Below are 22,259 nucleotides of genomic sequence, written 5' to 3'. Positions count from 1 at the left end.
AATCTCGGCTCATTGCAACCTCCGCCTCCCGGGTTCAAGCAATTATCCTACCTCAGCCTCTTGAGTAGCTGGGATTACTCAAGAGATGCCACCACACCTGGCTAATTTCTGTATTTTTAGTAGAGACGGGGTTTCACCATGTTGGTCAGGCTGGTCTCAAACTCCTGACCTCATGATCTGCCCACCTTGGCCTCCCAAAGTGCTGGGATTACAGGCTTGAGCCACTGCGCCTGGCCTGTATTTTCTTAGTTTTAAATTACTTATTTGTTTCTTTGTTTACTTTAGAGATGGTATCTCACTATGTTTCCCCGGGCTGGTCTCAAATTCCTGGGTTCAAGTGATCCTCCCACCTCAGCCTCCCAAAGTGCTGGGATTACAGGCCTGCGCCACTGCGCCCGGCCAAAAACACAAAATATTTTTACTAAGAGTCTAATTTAAAAATTTTAAACAGAATATTATCAGTTTCGATTGGTTCCTACAGTCTGTACAATTCAAACCTCCACAGGAGCTAGATCTTAGGAGACCCAAATTCTACCCAGCAAGGTTTCCATCTCTGACCTTCAACTTCCAGGTCTGGAAAGGAGACACTGTATTAGATATTTGCCGAATTCACTTCTAAGTCTATAGTTCTACACTAAGTGAATTAACACCGTTGTCTGCAGACAAGTTTCTATTGATTAATTTACTCGGAATTTTTCACTGGTATCTGTTACTTGTGAAAGTAATACACATATATGGTAAAGCTTTCACCACACAAAAACGTATAAAATAGAAGACGAATCCATCCCTCCCCCAAGGTAAGTCACCAGTTCTCACCTTGTCCCCTTCAGCTACCTGACAGATGACCTCTCCAGTGGACGGATTGACGGTGGGGAATGTTTTCCTGCTGACGGCATCGTGCCATTCATTGTTTATGAAAATCTACAATGAGAAGGAAAGAAGTTCTCAGGACCAGCTGTCAACCTAATACTGACTACCAGTATTGTAAGGAAAAAAAAAAACAAGAAAAAGCAAATATGAATTAATTTCAGAGTGGTGTAGCCTACAAATGAAAAGCACAGGCCTTGCAGACAATCTAGGCCAGAATGCTCACTCTGCCAAGTGACCTTGGGTAAGTCACTTGACTTCTCAGTGCCTTGGTTTCTTTAAAAAATGAAGAGAATGTTCATACTTGTTCTAGTTATCCATTGCTGTGTAACAAAGCACCCTAAAACTTGGTGGCTTAAAATGATTTCTTATCTCCCACAGTAGAGTCCCCTGGTTGGGCTCATCTGGGCAGAGTTCCCTTGTGTGGCTACAGTGTGAGGACAGCTGGGGCCAATAGTCATCCACCTCTGAGGCTGGATGTGCAAGATGGCTTCTGCACTTACTCGTCTGGCACCACATGGCTGCTTGGGCTTCCTGACTGCATGGCTGGCTCAAGCTAGTCCGACTTCCCACATGGCAGCTGGCTTCCCCTGAGACAGTGTTCCTAGAGACCCAGGTGGAAGCTGAAAGGCTTCCTAAGATCTAGCTTCAGAAGTCACTTGGCCTCATTTCTGCCACCAAATTCTGTTGGTCAAAGTGAGTCACAGGCTCAGTCCAGAGTCCCAGGTTGAGGAGAGAGCCTCCCCTTCTCCCTAGAAGGAATGGCAAACAATTTGCAACCACCTTCATTCTATTCCACTCCCACACAAATTTGTTGTGAGAACTAAATTAGATTATTCTTTTTATTGTTTTTTTTCTTTTTTGAGACAGGGTCTCACTCCACTGCCCAGGCTGGAGTGCAGTGGCGTGATCATGGCTCCCTGTAGCCTCTTCCTCTTAAGCTCAAGTGATCCTCCTGCCTTAGCCTCCTGAGTAGCTGGGACCACAGGCACACGCCACTACGCCTGGCTAATTTTTGTATTTCTTGTAGAGATGAGGTCCCTCTATGTTCCCCAGGCTGGACTCAAGCGATACTCCCTCCTCAGCCACCCAAGGTCCTGGGATTGCAGGTGTGAGTCACCATGCCCAGCCCTAGATTATTACTTCACTCACTCAGCAAACACTTAATGAACACCTGCGATGGGCCAGGCACAGTTCTAGGGCTGAGGACACAGTACAGCCAAAAGCCAACAAAGACCATGCTCTCATGGTGCCCAGGAAATAAAGAGGCAATCAAACACAGAAGACCACCTCAGACTGTACAGATGAAGGCGAAGGGAAGAAGAGGATCCAGAGAAGGTGACTAAGGTGGGGGGTAGAGAACTCCAGCCGTGGTGGTAGGGGCAGGTCACCCTGAGGAGTGGACATTTGACCGAGTCCGGAATGATGAAAAGGAGGGGTCCACAGGAAGAGCCGGAGGACCAGCAGTCCAGGCTGTGGAATAGCAAGTGCAAAGGCCCCAGGGCAGGAATAAGTCTGGTAGATTTGAGAAAAAGCAAAGGTGGCCAGAGTTACTGGTGAACCAGAAAGGAAGTGATAAAAAACGGGGTCAGGGAGGAGGGCGGGTCCCAAGACGGTTCCGCCTCTAGAATGTAATTCAGACCAGGCCATCACCCAACCAAGCCACATCTGGGGGAAAGACTTCCTTCCTCATGAGGCCAATGTCAGAGAGCCAAAGCCCCTCCATTTGCTCAGAGGAAGGGTCCTTACTTATTACCTAAAGTCACCTATTAAAGTGCGAGGCTGCGTGCGGTGTTCATGCCTGTAATCCCAGCACTTTGGGAGGCTGGGGTGGGCGGATCACCTTAGGTCCAGAGTTTGAGACCAGTCTGGCCAACACGGTGAAACCCCATCTCTACTAAAAATACAAAAAATTAGCCAGGTGTGGTGGCAGGCGCCTGTAGTCCCAGCTACTCGGGAGGCTGAGGCAGGAGAATCGCTTGAACCCAGGAGGCAGAAGTTGCAGTGAGCCAAGATCACGCCATTGCACTCCAGCCTGGGCAACGAGAGTGAAACTCCGTCTCAAAAAATAAAAATAAATACATACATAAAGTGCCAGAGTTCGCCCTCTGCTTTCCAGGCACTGGGCGATGGTCTTGGGGAGTGCAGAGAAGACATCTCCCAGCAAGCTGTTCCCTTCGGGCTTGGTAAACCAGTGTCCTGGCAGGGTCCATGGTCACCTCACCAGTGCTGAGGCAAAGGCTACAGGTGACGTGAAGGCAAAGACATCTGCCTCTCTGCCTGCCTTCCTTGGGGGTCCCTTTGGCCCCAGCATCCCTGCATGTCCTGGCCCTGGCCTAGAACTCCAGTGAGACATCCATGGTCACTCTGGGCCAGAGTCTCGGACCATAAAGAATACCGAGCTGCCAAGCAAAGCCTGGAGTGAGGCTCACAACAGGGCTGGGGAGGGGTGGCCAGGCTCACTGGTCAAAAGCAGACATTTGGCCTGGCACAGTGGCTCACACCTGTAGTCCCAGCACTTTTGGAGGCCAAGGCATGAGAATTGCTTGAGCTCAGGAATTTGAGACCAACCTGAGTAACATAGTGAGACCTCCATCTCCACAAAAAATGAAAAATTAGCCAAGTGTGGTCGCATGCGCCTGTAATCCCAGCTACTTAGGAGGCTGAGATGGACGGATCACTTGCTTGAGTCTGGGAGGTTGAGGCTGCAGTGAGCCATGATCACACCACTGCCTCCAGCATGGGTGACAGAGCAAGACCCTCTCTCAAAAAAGAAAACACAAAAAGGAGCAGAGGTTCAAGACAAGAATCTGGGTGGCCAGGCACAGTGGCTCACGCCTGTAATCCTAACAATTTGGGAGGCCAAGGTGGGAGGATTGCTTGAGCTCAGGAGTTTGAAACCAACATGGGTAACATAGTGAGACCCTCTCTCCACAAAAAGTGAAAAATTAGCCAGGTGTGGTTGCGTGCCTATAGTCTCAGCTACTCAGGAGGCTGAGGTGGGAGGACCATTTGAGCCTGGGAGGTTGAGGCTGCAGTAAGCCGTGATTGCATCACTGCACTCCAGCCTGGGTGACAGAAAAAGACTCTTAAAAAAAAAAAAAGAATCTGGACGAATATGGGCTTTTTTTTTTTTCCTGAGACAGAGTCTCATTCTGTTGCCCAGGCTGGAGTGCAGTGGCGCAATCTCAGCTCACTGCACTCCAACCTCCCAGGTTCACACCATTCTCCTGCCTCAGCCTCCCAAGTAGCTGGGACTATAGGCGCCTGCCACCATGCCCGGCTAATTTTTCTGTGTTTTTAGTAGAGACGGGGTTTCACCGAGTTAGCCAAGATGGTCTCAATCTCCTGACCTCGTGATCCGCCCGTCTGGGCCTCCCAAAGTGCTGGGATTACAGGTGTGAGGGTTTTTTTTTTCTTTTTTTTTAGACAAAGTCTGGCTCTTGTTCCCCAGGCTGGAGTGCAATGGAGCGATCCCGGCTCACTGCAACCTCCGCCTTTCAGGTTCAAGCGATTCTCCTGCCTCAGCCTCCTGAGTAGCTGGGATTACAGATGCCTGCCACCATGCCCGGCTAATTTTTGTATTTCTAGTAGAGACGGGGTTTCACCATGTTGGCCAGGCTGGTCTCCAACTCCTGACCTCAGGTGATCCACTCACCTCGGCCTCCCAAAGTGCTGGGATTACAGGCGTGAGCCACCGCGCCTGGCCGAATATGGGCTCTTTTGCTCCTGATTTTGTCACATGGGACAAGCACCTCACCCCTGTGTCTTTGTTTCCTCATCTGTAGGGTGGGAATCACCCTAGAGCCCCCTTTTTATAAAGCCATGTGAGGGTCTGCAGTCTCTGCGCCAAGCATGGAGTGAATGCCCAACGCCATGACGATGGCAGGGTGGAAACAGAGTGCCCCAGGAAGGAGTCGTTCAGGTAAGGGCCTAGCAGGAATCATATTCCCAGGCTGAAATTTGTTCCGCATAATCTCTATGGTGGAACCCGCAGTTGTGCACCCACAGGAAAGGCTCTTGGCACCGGAGAAGAACATGGGTAAACATTAACTGGGGTTCTGGAGGCGTGCTTGTGTGGTTTCATATTAGTTAGTCAATCGTTAATTTTTAGGGAAATGGCACCCTTCTTTCTTTCCACGGGAGGGCTGGGTCATTTCCAGTGTGGGGACAGGTGTGGCAATAAAGAGCTCAGGTTCAAAGCCAGGAAACTGCCAGACCTAAGTTCAAGTTGGACTATGCCGTGCCTGGGCAGCAGGTCCTGGGTGTTTACTCCCCGACTCTGAAAGTCAGCTCCTCCTCGGGGTGCCCGTGGAGGAGAAGGGAGTTCCCGGGTCTGCCTGCTGGAAGATGGGGGCTCACGGGCGTGGGGGGCGGGCAGGCAGCTTGCAGCCATTGAGTAGGCATCCTTCTCTCCTTCCCCCTGTAGCACAGGCTCAGGGTTCACGCCTCACACACAACTGCCTCACAGCAAAGCACTTGGGTCAGCAGGGTTAGGAGAGTACAGAGAAGCACTAGGCTGGGCTGGGTGGAAGTAGGTCTGGTTGGCCTTGTACTATCCCCAAGCTTCTTCCTCCCCCACCCAGGGAGGAAGTCCACTCAGCCCTCTGCGTGTCATGGACATGGCTAACATTCACTAGCTACCCCTCAAGAACCAGCCCCACACCAGCGGTTCTGTGTACTTGGATTGTTCCCATTTAAACCTCATAGCAAACCTAGGAGGTGAACTTCATCCTCTCCACTTCACAGCAGAGGATGCTGGGCACAGAAGAGTCCAGCCACTTGGCTCTAGGTCACACAGCAGCAAAGGCAGAGCCAGGCTTTGAAGCCAGGTCTTTGGGACTCCAAGGCCTGTGTTTTTCCCAACTCCAACCTCCAGCCATAGCCCAGGTCTGCCTTCAAGGAGGTTGGAATTCTGATTCCCAAATCTCCATCTTTATGGTTTACTTACTGACTCAACACACGTTGATTTCACATTTTGATTCTGAGCCAGGCACAGTGGCTCATCCCTGTAATCCCAGCACTTTGGGAGGCCAAGGCAGGTGGATCATTTGAGGTCAGGAGTTCGAGACCAGCCTGGACAACATGGTGAAACCCTGTCTCTACTAAAAATGCAAAAATTAGCTGGGCATGGTGTCACTTGCCTGTAATCCCAGCTACTCGACAGGCTGAGGCAGGAGAATTGCTTGAACCTAGGAGATGGAGGTTGCAGTGAACCAAGATTGCACCACTGTACTCCAGCCTGGGCAACAGAGTCTCAAAAAAAAAAAAAATTTTATTCTGAATGTTGTAAAAAGCACCAACCTCAAAGCCAAACAGATCTGGGTTTGAATTTTTTTTCTTAAATAAAGGTGGGATTTTTTTTGTATTTTTTGTAGAGATGGGCTTTCACCATGTTGGCCAGGCTGGTCCCAAACTCCTGTGCTCAAGTGATCCTCCTGCCTTGGACTCCTAAAGTGCTGGGATTACAGCTGTGCGCCACCATGCCCGGCCTGGGTTTGAATTCTGACTCCATCCCTCACAGATTTGACCCTGGGCAAATCCCTTCACTTCCCAGATGCCTCATCGAGTACTTCTGGGGGCTGATGTGAAGGTTAAATGCAAGAACGAGTGTACAGTTCCTAAGCTAGGACCTTGCCCGCAGGGGGTCCTGCAGTGTTCTAGATCCTGCAGCTCTCTCGTAGCTTAAAGATTCTTAGGAGCGAGGGCCAGGTCTATACTCTTTATGTTGTTCCCTGCACCAAAGCATACTAAATTGTCCTGGATTTTAAACTTTATTTTGCAAAGATCAGGAAGTAGGAAGGGGAGAGGTGGGCCAGTCTGGCTAAAACCCCACCAGCCCCACCCCTTCCTCGCTGGGCTGGCCCCTCTGATTTAGATTAGGATCCTGGAAAGACCACTCCCTGGCATGTTTGCCTTTCAAAGCCCAGAATGTTCTCAATCACCCTTCACTGTTGAACCAGGCTGCATTTTCAACAACCCATCCTCCCTTCTCCACTGATAAGATAAACCTGGGTCTGCTGTAGGACGCTGGAAACCTCCTCCGGTTTACATTTCCCATTTCCCTTCTCCCAGAGCCAGACTCAGTGGCTTCCCTCCCCGGTGGGGGGCTGGGTAGGAACTGTTCTCACACTGAGTTTCTGCCAAAGTTCTGCTTCAAGTGAGGAGCAGTTTTCCTGAATAAACACCAGGCCAGACTCTGGGCCAAATGCTTTATAACCTCCTGACCAGAAACCCGAAGCTCGACTTACATAACACACGTAAACGCTCTTGGGCGGGGCGTGGTGGGGGGATGTCCTAGCTCCCACTTCCTCTTTATAGTTTCCAGAAGCACAGTGATGTCTGGAGTTGACATTTTCAATCTAGACTGTAGGCAAAACATAAAGATTTTCTATCAAAATACTCTAATTCCTACATATTTTAATAAATACATCTCACTTTGTTTTGTAAAAATTGGATTCATTCACCCACGCATTCCATAAGCTTTCACTGACAGCCCTGGCCACTCCAGCACAGGGAGTCCAAGAGCCAAGTCCTGGCTTGTGGGAGCTGAAGTCCTGGTGAGGAGAGGGCGCAGGAAACAAGCAAAACCAAGCAAGTGAGAAGCAGGAGGAGGCTTGGCCAGCTGAGGGGTCTGAAGGGTGACTGCTAGGAAGAGCCTGGGGACAGGAGGAGTGGCTGCAGGGTGTAGGTGAGGGGAGAGCGGGGGGCTCGCGATTCTACCTGCTGTGTGCCAGGATCTGCACTTGATGCTGGGAGGACCCAGGAGACCAGAGAACCGGGACACTGCCGTGTCCTTTCTAAGTGGGGGTAATAGACTTGCTGTTTGCTAACTCGCTTTTCTCAGTTTCTCTTGGACGTTATTCCACAGGCAGCTCTGCCTCATGTTAAGCCACATAGCGTTCCTCAACACGGTCAGGCCATGGTTTATTTAACGATTTCCTACAAATGCACTTTTAGGACAAGTGATCGCCATTCCAGCAACAGCTGTGGCGAACCCTTTCACATGCGTTTTTCCAAACATGGGGCAGATTACTGTGTAGAAATTAGAACTACTGAGTTAGAGGGTAACAGGATCCCTCTTCACCTTGGCTATCTTGTTCTCCATGCCAGGCAGAGACTTAGTGGTGATTGTGGTGGTCGAGGGGCTCAGGAGCTGGGGCAGGGTCAGTGCCCAGAGCAGGACAACTGGACCTTGGGGGCGGAGGTCAGACCAAGGCCAGGAGAGAATGAAATTCTGGCCACCACCCCCAGACCTCATGACAATGGGTGGTTATCATCTGCCCAGGGTCTCCAATGAAAGGCTAAACTGTGTTCAGTAATCATCTGCCCAGGGTCTCCAATGAAAGGCTAAACTGTGTTCAGTAGTTCTGATTTAAGGAGGCAGGATACATTCTAGAAAGATTTCAGTTCAAGCTTTGATGCATGAGAGAACTGGACATGTTACCTAGGAAATCCCCGTCCCTGGAACACCGTATTTTCCCAAAGAGTGAGCAAGCTAATGGCGCGGTTTTGCAGCCTGGGATGATCCCAACGGCATGTGCTCTTTCACTTGCTAATCTGCGGTTAGGTGATTATGTCCGATGGAAAGCAGATGCCATTGCTTGTATTACAAGATTCCAGGGAGTAAAGTTCAAGACAAACACGGAATGCCACACACATTCCCTCTTCCCCACACATAATCCAGAACCCCAGGTTAGTTGGGGATCAAGGCGAGGGGCAGTCATCTCCCCAGGCTTGCTCGGGACACTCCCGAACCAAGACTAACCCAGGCAGACAGACGCCAGCCCTCTGCCCCACTCCCCCACCCCAGGGCCTTTTTTCACCACTTCAAAGATGGGAGTTTCAATTCCACTTTGGACTGTTTGCCAGACAGGCGCGGTTTCAACTTGTTCTGCTTACGGTTTGGCAACCTCTATCTTGCTGCAATGGACTTTCCCTGAGCCAGTTTCACCACTCCCTATGCGTCCCCATGTTCCCACTCTTTTAAACTTCCAAATACTTTGCAATAAGGTCCTTTTGAGTAGAAATACTGGGTTCTCATTAAGCAACCCTTTACCTCACTTCTGGAGCACAAAACTGTAAACATGGTTTCGTAAATGGCAACCATTCATTATTCAATAAATATTTACCCAACAGTGATCCTATGCTAAGGTGCTAGGTGCCAGGAATGCAAAAGTGAACAATACAAACATGGCTCCTCCTCTCTGATTTTAAAATTCTATTCAATTGTCCCTTAAATGTTTATTAATACATTCTTATGGTCTGATCATTATTCAGGGAGGTCAAGTTCACATTAAGTTATAAGTTTGAAAGTGGGCTTCAAATTCTGCCCTGCCCAACCTTCACACACATGCCCTTAGTTATACTTAATGTGAACTTGACCTCCCTGAGCCTCAGTTTCCTCACCCGCAAGACGGGACAGCAATACTACCAGGCTTATAGAGTTGCGGGTAGGATGAAAGGTGAAATGCAGGTAGAAGTCCTCAGTAGAGGGCCTGATGGAAAATAGGTGATGAATAATCATGATTACTGGAGCAGGGAATACATACACATGTCCACAACATGTAAATTCTCAACTCAGCTTGACCTCAGGAGCACAAACATTATTATAGCCCTGTCACCTGAAACTCAAGTGTGTCCCACAGATTCTGGGCAGGCAGGAAGTATTGAATGCCCATTTGTGTTCTCTGATTAAAAACACGGGCCGGCCACGGTGGCTCATGCCTGTAATCCCAGCACTTTGGGAGGCTGAGGCGGGCGGTGTCACTGGGCCCCACCACAACCTCCGCCTCCTGGGTTCAAGCGTTTCTCCTGTCTCAGCCTCCCAGGTAGCTGGGATTACAGGTACATGCCACCACACCGGCCAATTTTTGTATTTTTAGTAGAGACGGGGTTTCATCATATTGGTCAGGCTGGTCTCCACCTGAGGTGATCCGCCTGCCTCGGCCTCCCAAGGTGCTGGGATTACAGGCATGAGCCACCACACCCAGCCTGCCTAAATCTATTTCTTTTTGTTTTTTTTTTTTGAGACGGAGTCTCACTCTGTCACTAGGCCTCACTCTTATGCCAGGGCATGAGCTGCCATGCCCGGCCACCTAAATCTATTTCTATAGAGGCTCTTAAAACTCCTAGCTGGATGTTGTGGCCCATGCCTATAATCCCAGTGCCTCTAGTGGCTGACGCAGGAGGATCGCTTCAGCCCAAGAGTTTGAGGTTGCAGTGAGTTATGATCATGCCATTGCACTCCAGCCTGGGCAACAGAGCAAGACCCTGTCTCAAAAAAAAAAAAAAAAACCAAAAAAAAAAGAGGCCAGGTGCAGTGGCTCACGCCTGTAATCCCAGCACTTTGGGAGGCCAAGGCGGGTGGATCACAAGGTCAGGAGTTTGAGACTAGCCTGGCCAACATGGTGAAACCCCAACTCTACTAAAAATACAAAATTAGCTGGGCATGGTGGCGGCACCCGTAATCCCAGCTACTCAGGAGGCTGAGGCAGGAGAATCGCTTGAACCCGGGAGGCAGAGGTTGCAGTGAGCCGTGATCGTGCCACTGCACTCCAGCCCGGGCGACAGAGTGAGACTACATCTCAAAAACAAAAACAAAAACAAAGGACACTCCTAAAGAAGTCATCAACCTGTACAATCAATAGGGAGATTCAGTCAGCACAAAGTCACTCCAAAACACAGGTTTTGGCTCATTCTGTAAGAATCTCCCAGGCAAACAAGAAAAAGCAAATTTCTGCTTCAGATATACCGTTAACAGTGATTATCTGCAGGGGTGGCACATCAGGGGACCATTATATTTTTTCTTTTTTCTTTTAATATCTGCTCATGGGGTATTAAGTTTTTTTTGTTTTTTGGGGAGTTTTTTTTCAGACGAAGTGTCACTCTGTCACCCAGGCTGGAGTACAGTGGTGCGATCTCGGCTCACTGCAACCTCTGCCTCCCGGGTTAAAGTGATTCTCATGCCTCAGCCTCCGGAGTAGCTGGGATTACAAGCGTGGGCTACCAGGCCTAGCTAATTTTTGTATTTTTAGCAGAGTCAGGGTTTCACCATGTTGGTCAGGCTGGTCTCGAACTCCTGTGCTCAAGCAATCTGCCCGCCTCAGCCTCCCAAAGTGCGGAGATTACAGGCGTGAGCCACCGTGCCTGGCCAATTTTTAAAGAAATCAAACATTTAAATGAAGCCAGAGTCCTCGTTCATCACTACCCTTATCCTGTCCTGCCCACTCAGGCAGTAACCACCCTCACACCAAGGAGAATTTTCCTTCCAGCACATTCTTACACATTTTTTATGGAGATCTGTCTATCTACATACAACATAAAGTTTTGTACAGTTTTCATGGTTTCATATGGTGTAGAGTGCTGGACATTTTTCCTCCTTGACATATTGTTTTTGAGATACATTATTTGTACAGGTTGAGCCAATGATTTGTAACTGCTACATGCAGAGGATTATTTCCTCCTATAACTGTAACATAGGTGTTCATCTATTTCCCAATGGAGCTCGAGCTGGCTTATTTCCTAAGCTTTTACTGACATAAAAGAAGTTGCAATGAACATTTCTGTATGGTGCCTATGTATACTTGCAGTGTTGCCCAGGATGGAGTGCAGTGGCAAGATCAAAGCTCACTGAAGCCTCAAACTCCTTGGCTCAAGCAATCCTCCTGCCTCAGCCGCCCAAGTAGCTGTGACTACAGGTGCTCACCACCATGTCCAGCTAATTTTTTTAAGCTTTTGTAGAGATGGAGTTTTGCTATGTTGCCCAGGCTGGTCTCGAACTCCTGGGGTTAAGCAATCTTCCCACCTTAGCCTCTGAAAGTGCTGGGATTACAGCTGTGAGCCACCACACCTAGCCTTGGGAAATCCATCCTTAATTGCCTGTCAGTTCTCTCTTTAGTTCAGTGCTTCACACTGTAATCCCAGCACTTTGGGAGGCCAAGGAGGGAAGATTGCTTGAGCCTAGAAGTTCAAGACCCAGCCTGGGCAACATGGCAAAACCCCATCTCTATAAAAATTATAAAAAATTGGCTGGCTGCAGTGCCTTAATCCCAGCACTTTGGGAGGCCAGGGCAGGTGGATCACCTGAGGCCAGGAGTTCAAGACCAGCCAGCCTGGCCAACATGGCGAAACCTCATCTCTACTAAGAATACAAAAAAATTAGCCAGGCGTGGTGGTGGGCACCTGTAATCCTAGCTACTCAGGAGGCTCAAGCAGGAGAATCGCTTGAACCCAGGAGGTGGAGGTTAGAGTGAGCCAAGATCACACCACTGCACTCCACCCTGGGCAACAGAGCAAGAGTCTGTCTCAAATAAATAAAATAAAATAAAAAATACAAAAATTAGTCAGGTGTGGTGGGGTATGCCTGTAGTCTCAGCTACTTGGAAGACTGAAGTAGGAGGATAACTTGTTGACTGAGCCTGGGAGGTTGAGGCTGCAGTGAGCACTACTACACTCCAGCCTGGGCAACAGTGAGAGACCCTGTCTCAAAACAAAAACAAAAACAGAAAGAGAGGGTAAGAATAAAGATGCAAGTTTTAATTCACCCCAAACTCCCATTCTACTTTACCACAATCTAGCTCACCCCTTCAGGAAACAAACTGCAAATACAACAGCATCCATATCAAATGGAGTTTGATCACCAAGACACTGCAAGTCCACAGCGTCACTGTTATCCCAGCTCCTGCTTAAGGCTGCAGTCAATATGGAGGCACCAGTGGCCATGAAGCCAGCACTGCCTGTGGCTGCAGAAGCCTCACCCCATTTGGTCCTCACAGCAATTCGGTGATGCAGATGGAATTTTACCCCCCACATTTTTTTTTTTTTTTGAGATGGAGTCTCGCTCTGTCACCCAGGCTGGAATGCAGTAGTGTGATCTCGGCTCACTGCAACCTCTGCCTCCCAGGTTCAAGTGATGCTCCTGCCTCAGCCTCCCAAGTAGCTGGGATTACAGGTGCGCGCCACCATGCCCAGCTAATTTTTGTATTTTCAGTAGAGACAGGGTTTCACTATGTTGGCCAGGCTAGTCTCGAACTCCTGACCTCGTGATCCGCCTGCTTCAGTCTTGCAAAATGCTGGGATTACAGGTGTGAGCCACTGCACCCAGCCATTTTACCCCATTTTACAGATGAGGCAGCTGAGGTGCAGAGTCCACTGCTGTATGCACCATCCCTCTTCCCTGCTGAGTCAGCAATAAGGCCACACTGCAAACAGCCCAGGGGGCTCTAAGAGGTCCAGTTCCAGCACGGCGCCACCAGAGTAGAATGCTCTGTGGTCCTTGGAAAGGGTTAAATGAGATCTGAACGTACTCAGAATGATAACCCAGGTACATTGTTCAGTGAGACGGCGAGCTTCAGAATATAAGTGGTTGCATCTCATTTATGTTAAAAAAAAAAAAAAGTCTGGTGTGCTTGCATTCTCTCTCTCTCTCTCTTGCTGCAGGCACTTGTAAATGCAAACAAAATGTCTACAAGAGACACACCCACCTGTTCACAGTGCTCTTGGAGGGAGTAAAATGGGGTATCCAGAGAGGTTTATTTATTTATTTATTTTTTAAGAGATGGGTTCTTGCTCCATTGCCCAGGCTGGAGTGCAGTGGCACAATCATAGTTCACTGCAGCCTTACATCTAATCTCAAGCGATCTTCCCACCTTGGCATCCCAAAGTGCTGGAATTACAGGCATGAATCACCTTGACTGACCATGTCCAGAGAGTTGTAAGTCAGTCCTCTGCAATTTTATACAGTGGGCATGTGTTACTTTAATGATCTCAAAAAGTCTGATAAAGAAAAGCAGCCACAGGGAATTGACTCGGCTCCTCCAGCCTACACCCACAGAGTAAATCTGGAGAACAGGATGTGTTACCTATGGGCCTGGGTGCATATCTGGACCCAGCTGCCTCATCTGCATGTGATAAAGGATAAAGATTTTAATCAGATCCTGTGGCCAGAAGGGTTCCTAGGGCGATGGCTGTTCCTTGAGGACATTTCTGAGACAGGGTCTTGTTCTGTTGCTCAGACTAAGTGTAGTGGCCCAATCATAGCTCACTGCAGCCTCGAACTCCTAGGCTCAAGTGATCCTCCCACCTCGGCCTCCCATATAGCTGGGACTACAGGCATGTGCCACCGCACCTGACTAATTTACTTTTTTAGTAGAGACTAGACACAGGGTCTTGCTATGTTGCCCAGGCTGGTCTCGAAATCCTAGGCTCAAGGGATCATCCCACCTCAGCCTCCCATATAGCTGGGACTACAGGCATGTGCCACCGCACCTAACTAATTTACTTTTTTAGTAGAGACTAGAGACAGGGTCTTGCTATGTTGCCCAGGCTGGTCTCGAAATCCTAGGCTCAACGGATCATCCCACCTCGGCCTCCCAAAATGCTGGGATTTACAGGCATGAGCTACTGCACCTGGCCTCTGCTAGATCTTTTGATGCTCAAGTCTTCCAAGCATGAACTTGCACAGGCTGCCAAGGGAGCCATAGCTGCTGCCTTTTTAGCTTGTGTTATGCAAAAGATTTTATTTTATCCTTTTAAAAATTCCCTTGCAAATGACCTTTGTAACATCCCCTAAAATCACACGCATGTGCCTTTACCCATCACCTATATCCAGATTTGCAGCCACACTCAGGGCCAGACCAGCAGGTGTGCTGTTGAAAGCAGCTGGCTAGGAGCCAGCTCTACAGCATCCCAAATCAGCAATAGTCCCAGAGGATCGGTGGTCCCTTTGTTCCCACCCAGAGTCACAACATACCATGGAATGTTCTGGTTAGGGGCTTACTCCTGGAAGTTCAGCTGTGAACCCCAACTATGCCACTGACTTTGGTCTTTAGGTGAGTCACTAAACCTCTTTGTGACTCAGTCTCTTCATCTGTAAAATGGAGAATTACAGTCCCTTCCTACTGAGGCTGTTGTAAAAATTACCTTAAATTGCAAAACAGGTAGACGCTTAGAACAGTGCTGCACAAAGGCTGTGCAGACAGGACAGGAGCTGTGATTAACTATGAAGTGACTGGTTGATGAGGGCCTGTGTGAACCTAACCCTCAGAGCGCCTTTCCATTTATAGGAGAAAAAGCTTAAGTCAGAGAAGGCAGCCAACATGCACTGGCACAAACAAAACAAACTCTTTCATAACCAATTTCAGCCTCTGTGAAGTCTAGAACTTTAACCAAACTCAAAGATCAAAACAAAAAATATTCCAAAGTATTACTGATTGAGCAATCAATAAATGGACCACAGGAATCAGTTTTATCCTGGAAAGCTCCTCCTTGGTTTGGTCGAAGCCGGCGTTGGAAGCCGCAGACACCCCTTGGGGTCGGCCCCCTGGGGCCGAAGGTCCTCCAGGATTCCCTACTCCCAGCAATGGAAGCAGCCGAGCGTGGCCTCGCCCATGGTGAACTGGAGAACGTGGCTGCAAATCACCTCTTTCCTGGTTTTTCCTTTTGAACTCCTTGGATGAGGGCATGAGTCAGGGGGTAAAGGGGATGACTAAGGAAAAGACAGGAAAGTTCCTGCAAAGAGGGACTTGGTCGCGTCTTCTGAGTGGGTGAGGGTGGGGACCCTGCGGAGACCCGAAAGCAAGGACCATGGGGAGAACGGAACCCCGAGAGTTGGCCCTGGAAAACAGACCGAGGCTGGGCGAAGACGGAGAGGGGGCCCAAGTCACGGGGAAATGGGACGGGGACTGTCAGAGGCGGCGAAGGGGCTAAAATGCTTGCAGGAGAGGAGGGGGCAGATGTGCTTCCAGGTCAGCCTCTGCAAACCCCTCGAGCCCCAGATGAGTACACTAAGGCCCACGGCGGCGCGGGGCCTTCCTAGGGGCCTGCGGGGGACTCGGGCCGGAAAACAAAGCGCGAGCCCGGCCGGTGGGCTCACCTGGTTGCAGAAGACCTCGGGCTGCTGGTTGGGGGCAGGCACGGCCTGGGTGGCGGCGGCTGACAAGAGGCGGCGGCCCAGGCGGGGCCCGAAGCGGGCGGCAGCGCGCAACATCGCAGCGGGCTAGCGGACAGCGAGCGGACCGAGAGCAGAGCTAGGGTCTCAGGGCCACTGAGCCGACCCCGCTCCCCGCCCCGCGCGGCAGCCAATGGAAAGGCGGGGGCGGGCCGGGGGCGGGGCTGCCTCTACCATTCCTCGGGATGGGGCGCGCAGCTGATGCAAGCGAAGCGGGTGGCGCTAGGTACCCCCGGCCCGTGGCTGCCCCCTGGCTCGCGCGACGCCTCCGCGCCCGCCACCGCCCTCCGCCTGTGCGGAAAGACCCGGCCCCGCGAACGCAGCTCGCCTTGGTTGAGCCCCCAATGTGTGCCTTTGACCCCAATGTGAACAGGCCCGAGCCAGGGCGACCCTGACCTTCCCGGCTGATGCTCCAGGTGAAGAGACCGGCCGTAAACCCAAAAGCGAGATCATTTCGGAGGTGAAGGAGATGAACGAGGTGACATGGATGGGGCAGACGGCACTGCTTTTATAAGTACCATGGTCAGGAAATGACAAGTGAGACCTGAATGATGACAGGGAACAGCAAGGGCAAAGGCCAGGAGATGAGACCACCTGGCACGTGTTAGAGAAATGGAAAGAATGAATGGAGCCCAGTTAACAAGGAGAGAGGCGGCCAGGGCAAGGGCAGGGACGGTCTTGGAAGCAGCGGTTCAGAGTTTAGAACAGGATGATTTGCATGATTTGCTTATTCTTTTTTTTTTTTTTTTTTTTGAGACGGAGTCTCACTGTGTCGCCTAGGCTGGAGTGCAGTGGCACGATCTCGGCTCACTGCAAGCTCTGCCTCCCGGGTTCACACCAGTCTCCTGCCTCCGCCTCCGGAGTAGCTGGGACCACAGGCGCCTGCCACCACGCCCGGCTAATTTTTTGTATTTTCAGTAGAGACGGGGTTTCACCGTGTTAGCCAGGATGGTCTCGATCTCCTCACCTCATGATCCGCCTGCCTCGGCCTCCCAAAGTGCTGGGATTACAGGCGTGAGCCACCGCGCCCGGCGGTGGGACTCTGATTTCAACACCAGATTCCACCAAAGTCGCCCTGGGGGCTCAGCACCATTCCACACAAACCAGAGGAAGAAAAGGCATGGGGGTGGCCCATGGGAGGTTTCTGTGGGCTGAGCCTGCTCGCCTGGCTGGATTTCAATCACACAACCATGCCTCCATGCAAAAGAGTCTGGGAAATGAGTGGCCCCTGTGCCAGGAAGAAGGGAAATAGGTTTGGAGATCAGCTGCAGAGATAATCTGATAACCAAGACTCCCTTCCTTCTCTGAATTCAGCCATGCAGGCCCCACTTCCCCTTCCCAATGGCGCCTTGCTTTTTTTTTTTAGATGGGGTTTCACTCTTGTTGCCCAGGCTGGCACCATGTGGGCTCACTGCAACTTCCACCTCCCAGGTTCTAGCGATTCTCCTGTCTCAGCCTCCCAAGTGGCTGGGATTACAGGCGCATGCCACCACACTTGGTTAATTTTTGTATTTTTAGTAGAGATGGGGTTTCATCATATTGGTCAAGCTGGTCTCGAACTCCTGACCTTAGGTGATCCGCCCACCTCGGCCTCCCAAAGTTCTGGGATTACAGGCATGAGCCACCGTGCCAGGTACTTTTTTTCCCTTAATACTGTGTGTGGAGATCGTTTTGTCACAGCACACAAGGACTATGTCCCCATTCTCTTCAACAGTTTCATGGTATTCCTCTGGATACATGAGGTAGTTTTATTTCATGAATTTCCTATGATGGACATTTAGGTTGTTTCCAATCTTTTGCCACTACAAACAATGCCACAATGTATGCTCTTGATTTGCTTAAGAAATTAATAGAAATGAGGCTGGCACCATGACTCGTGCCTGTAATCTCAGCACTCTGGGGGGGAAGCTGAGGCGGGTAGATCACTTGAGGTGAGGAGTTCGAGACCAGCCTGGCCAACATGGTGAAACCCCATCTCTACTAAACACACACACACACACACACACACACACACACACACACACACACACACACACACAATTAGCCAGGAATGGTCGCAGTGCCTGTAATCCCAGCTACTCCAGAAGGTGAGGCAGGAGATTGCTTGAATCTGGGAGACAGAGGTTGCAGTGAGCCAAGAGCTGAGATCGTGCCACTGAACTCCAGCCTGGGTGATAGAGTGAGACTACGTCTCAAAAAAAAAAAAAAAAGAAAAAAAAAAAGAAAAAAAAAAGAAAGAAAAGAAAAGAAAGAAATTAGTAGAAATGGAACAAAGAATATTTACAATTTAAATACAGATATATTACCCTCCAAAGAAGTTTAATTTATGCCCCACTACCTGTCATGTCTGAGTTTCCTTACACCCTCACCAGTAGAAGTTTCAGGATTTTTTTTTTAGCTTTGCTAATCTGAGAGACGAAAAAGTGGCATTTCACTACCACATTAATTTGCTTCTCTTTTACGAGTGAGCTTGAGCATCTCTGCCTAGATGAAGTCATGCATGTTTCCTCTGCTATGAACTAGCTGCTCATGTCTCTGGCTCACTTTTCTATTGGATTGTTGGTCTTTCTGAAATTGATTTGTAGGTGCTTTATATGTATCCAGGCAATTAACATTTTGTCTATCATATATGGCACAAATACATCCTGCCAGTCATCTTTTTACTACTAAGTAACTGTAAGTAGCTATTTCTGAACTACTGTATATTCTGTGTCATTGATCTCTGTATGCGTGTGCCAGTATGACACTGTTTTCATCACTGTAGCTTTCTAAGTCTTCTTGTTTTTTTTCCCCAAGACCAGGGTCTCGCTGTCACCCAGGCTGGAGTGCAGTAGCACAATCACAACTCGCTGCAGCCTCGACCTCCCAGGCTCAATTGATCCTCCCACCTCAGCCTCCTGAGTAGTTGTGATTACAGGTGCATGCCACCATGCCTGACTGATATGGTTTCACTGCGTCCCTACCCAAATCTCATCTAGAATTGTAACTCCCACAATTCCCACATGTTATGGGAAGAACCTGGTGGGAGGTGACTGAATTATGGGGGCAGGTCTTTACTGCACTGTTCTTTTGATAGTGAATGAGTCTCACGAGATCTGATGGTTTTAAAAACGGGAGTTTCCCTGCACAAGCTCTTTTTCTGCCTGCGGCCATTTATGTAAGACGTGACTTGCTCCTCCTTGCCTTCTGCCGTGATTGTGAGGCCTCCCCAGCTATGTGGAACTATAAGTCCATTAAACTTCTTTTCTTTTTTTTTTTTTTTGAGACACAGTCTAGCTCTGTCACTCAGGCTGCAGTGCAGTGGTGCTATCTTGGCTCACTGCAAACTCCGCCTCCCAGATTCAAGCGATTCTCCTTCCTCAGCCTTCCAAGTAGCTAGGATTACAGACGTGCCACCACGACTGGCTAATTTTTGTATTTTTTAGTAGAGATGGGGTTTCAACATGTTGGCCAGGCTAGTCTCGAACTCCTGACCTCAGGTGATCCACCTGCCTTGGCCTCCCAAAGTGCTGGGATTACAGGCATGAGCCACCGCACCTGGCCTAAACCTCTTTTGTAAATTGCCCAGTCTCAGGTATGTCTTTATCAGCAGCATGAAAACGGACTAAGGCACCAGCTAATTTTTTTTTTTTTTTTTTGTAGAGATAGGGTCTCTTTATGTTGCCCATGCTGGTCTTGAACTCCTGGGCTCAAGCAGTCAGCCCACCTTGGCCTCCCAAAATGCTGAGACTACAGGCATGTGCCACCATGCCCGGCAGCCTCCTAAGTCTTAATAGCTTGTACTAATATTTCTCTTAACCAAGATCTTTCAGCCTGGAAGTGATGAGGTTGCACATGTGCCTTCGAGGGATTCCTCTGAGAACTGCATGGAAACTCAGTTGTAGTGGGGAGGCAGGCCAGAGGCAGAGAGATGAGGAGGGCTCAGTTGGCAGAAAGAGTGTGAAGGTGGAATTGACAGGTAGCTGTGTGGAGATGAGGGCGAGAGGAGTGGAGTGGGTGCTGAGGTTCTTACCATGTGCTATTCCCCAGGATGGGGGAGCCAGGAGCAGCAGTAAACTTGGTTGTGGGGAGGGGAAGGAGAAAATGAGCTGACTTATCCACATTCGCATACATCGATACAATGTGGGCAACGTGCTTCGTCCCTGTTGGTGTGCGTGGTGTGTGTCTCAGTGCAGGACACGCTGGTCCACAGGTTCGTTTATTCTGGTTTGTCTGTGGTCTGTGGTGCTCACCATAATCCTAACCAGCAGCTCTCTCATCCCTGGTGCCCTACTGTTGGTGCACCTGTTCCACCCATGTCCTGCCCTCTCTCCTTATGGAAATCTTCCCTATCAAGATCCAGCCCAAGTCCCATCTTCTGGGAAGTCTTTTGTGACCATAGTAGCCTTCCTTAGCTGCTTTTTTTTTTTTTTTTTTTTTTTTTGAGACGGAGTCTCTCTCTGTTGCCCAAGCTGCAGTGCAGTGGTACCATCTCAGTTCACTGCAACCTCTGCCTCCTGGGTTCAAGCGATTCTCCTGCCTCAAGCTTCCCAAGTAGCTGGGATTACAGGCATGCACTACCATGCCTGGTTAATGTTTGTATTTTTAGTGGAGACAGGGTTTCACCATATTAGCCAGGCTGGTCTCAAACTCCTGGCCTCAAGTGATCCACCCAAGTCAGCCTCCCAAAATGCTGAGATTACAGGTGTGAGCCACCACATTTGGCCTCAGCTGCTTTCACACAGTCCTCAACCAAATACTGCAGACCAAGATCACCTGGATGTGCTGAAACGCTATTGTAATTATGGCTCCTTGTGGCTCAGTCTCTCCAAAGAATGAACTAAAACTTAACTCTCAACCTAGATTTCACCCTGACAGTCTGAGGCTTTCCTCTCTTCCACGTTTCTTTCCATCTGTTTCCTGGTTCTTCATCGCCCCTTGTCTGTGGGCTCACTGGCAGGAATGGGGCCGGCAGAAGCACAGGCATTCTCATGGTGCTGAGACCTTCGGTGGAAGCACCTCAAGCCACTTAACTTCCTCTAAGATATTCAAATTCCTAGCTTTCAACTACTCTGAAACCTTTCATTGTTAGGGCACAACTGATGTGCTTTCAGGCTTTAAAAAACCCTAGTTCCACTTGCTCTCCAACAAAGGTTGTGACTGAGGTCTCCTTCAGGGTCACTGACTGGTGAGATTCTAGATGTTTGGTTGTTTAGTCCCCGTTCTGGGACACTGACTCTGTCTATGGAAGCTCTTTGTTGCTGTTGTTGCAAACAATGATGTTAGGTGAGGAATTTAAAGCCCCATTTTAACAGGAAGACATCTGGCTGGGGGCAGTGGCTCAGCCTATAATCCAACACTTTGAGGCCGAGGCGGGCGGATCATCTGAAGTTGGGAGTTCTAGACCAGCCTGACCAACATGGAGAAACCCCATCTCTACTAAAAATACAAAATTAGCCAGGTGTAGTGGTGCATGCCTGTAATCTCAGCTACTTGGGAGGCTGAGGAAGGAGAATCGCTTTAACCCGAGAGGCGGAGGTTGCGGTGAGCTGAGATAATGCCATTGCACTCCAGCCTGGGCAACAAGAGCAAAACTCCGTCTCAAAAGCAAAACAAAACAAAACACAGTAAGACATCTGCCCTCACAGGTAGGAGGAAAAATATGGTCAGCCCTGAGCCCCAGCTCTGCCCTCCTTGTTTGCATATGTACACACACACACATACACACACACACACACACACACACACACAATCTCTCTCTCTCTCGGACACACAGCTGGCTTGACACTCCACAGGCAGCCAGGGCCACAGGGCAGACACCCCCATCATGGAGCCTGACCCCCTAAGAGGCAGTCGGGGGGGCATCCCGGAGATTATTCTGGAAGCATCAGAAGCTCATGCACTTCTTGAGGGCACAGCACGCTCTCCTTGGTGACATGAGCCTCATCATCTTCCTCCTTTCCTAGGTGAGGAGGCCAGTACCTCACAGAGGTGATCTTAACGATCCATGCCATGGAGTAGAAAGAGCTCTGGGATCTTCTGAATTTAGGTTTGAATTCACTGACAAGCTGTGTGATCTTAAGCAAGTTGCACAATTCCTTTGAACCTCTGTCTCCTCATCTCTAGCAGGGGCAGAATAAAAGGATCTGCCAATTGTTATAGGGTTCAAAATAACTGGCCAGGCGCAGTGGCCATGCCTGTAATCCCAGCACTTTAGGAGGCTGAGGTGGGTCAATCACCTGTCAGGAGTTCAAGACAAGCCTGGCCAACATGGTGAAACCGTCTCTACTAAAATTACAAAAATTAGCCAGGTGTGGTGGTGCGTGCCTGTAGTCCCAGCTACTCAGGAAGCTGAGACTGGAAAATCACTTGAACCCGGGAGGCAGAGGCTGCAGTGAGCTGAGATCGTACCACTGCACTCCAGCCTGCACAACAGAGTGAGACTCTGTCTCAAAAAACAATA

The 22,259-nt window shown here is 49.6% G+C and overlaps 1 protein-coding gene across 2 annotated transcripts in view, besides 5 other annotated features; it reads right to left on the bottom strand.

The window, feature by feature from the left end:
* Positions 1-15,906, bottom strand: part of ALDH2 (aldehyde dehydrogenase 2 family member) — a 50,600-nt gene extending 34,694 nt beyond the window's left edge. For both annotated transcript variants that reach the window (NM_000690.4, NM_001204889.2), the window contains exons 1-2: positions 15,743-15,906; positions 817-921 (exon numbers count right to left, since the gene is read on the bottom strand). In NM_000690.4, coding sequence (NP_000681.2) covers positions 817-921; positions 15,743-15,856 — 219 coding nt within the window. In that variant the 5' untranslated portion in view covers positions 15,857-15,906. The remainder of the gene's footprint in view (positions 1-816; positions 922-15,742) is intronic.
* Positions 7,242-7,431: an enhancer, noted in NCBI's record as "active region_7039". NCBI's record gives its function as "activates an Ori minimal core promoter by ATAC-STARR-seq in GM12878 lymphoblastoid cells {active_cell/tissue: GM12878}" and the evidence as "EXISTENCE:reporter gene assay evidence [ECO:0000049][PMID:35858748]".
* Positions 9,135-9,706: an enhancer, noted in NCBI's record as "H3K4me1 hESC enhancer chr12:112210937-112211508 (GRCh37/hg19 assembly coordinates)". NCBI's record gives its function as "activates a minimal SCP1, AML or CMV promoter by ChIP-STARR-seq in primed H9 embryonic stem cells {active_cell/tissue: H9 hESC(primed)}" and the evidence as "EXISTENCE:reporter gene assay evidence [ECO:0000049][PMID:30033119]".
* Positions 15,678-16,447: an enhancer, noted in NCBI's record as "H3K27ac hESC enhancer chr12:112204196-112204965 (GRCh37/hg19 assembly coordinates)". NCBI's record gives its function as "activates a minimal SCP1, AML or CMV promoter by ChIP-STARR-seq in primed H9 embryonic stem cells {active_cell/tissue: H9 hESC(primed)}" and the evidence as "EXISTENCE:reporter gene assay evidence [ECO:0000049][PMID:30033119]".
* Positions 15,899-16,218: a silencer, noted in NCBI's record as "silent region_4875". NCBI's record gives its function as "represses an Ori minimal core promoter by ATAC-STARR-seq in GM12878 lymphoblastoid cells {active_cell/tissue: GM12878}" and the evidence as "EXISTENCE:reporter gene assay evidence [ECO:0000049][PMID:35858748]".
* Positions 20,640-21,175: an enhancer, noted in NCBI's record as "NANOG hESC enhancer chr12:112199468-112200003 (GRCh37/hg19 assembly coordinates)". NCBI's record gives its function as "activates a minimal SCP1, AML or CMV promoter by ChIP-STARR-seq in naive H9 embryonic stem cells {active_cell/tissue: H9 hESC(naive)}" and the evidence as "EXISTENCE:reporter gene assay evidence [ECO:0000049][PMID:30033119]".

Source organism: Homo sapiens, chromosome 12, assembly GCF_000001405.40.
Source record: "Homo sapiens chromosome 12, GRCh38.p14 Primary Assembly".
NCBI classification, from domain to species: domain Eukaryota; kingdom Metazoa; phylum Chordata; class Mammalia; order Primates; family Hominidae; genus Homo; species Homo sapiens.
Note: the sequence above shows the minus strand (reverse complement) of the source record. Positions and strands in the feature narration are given on the sequence as shown.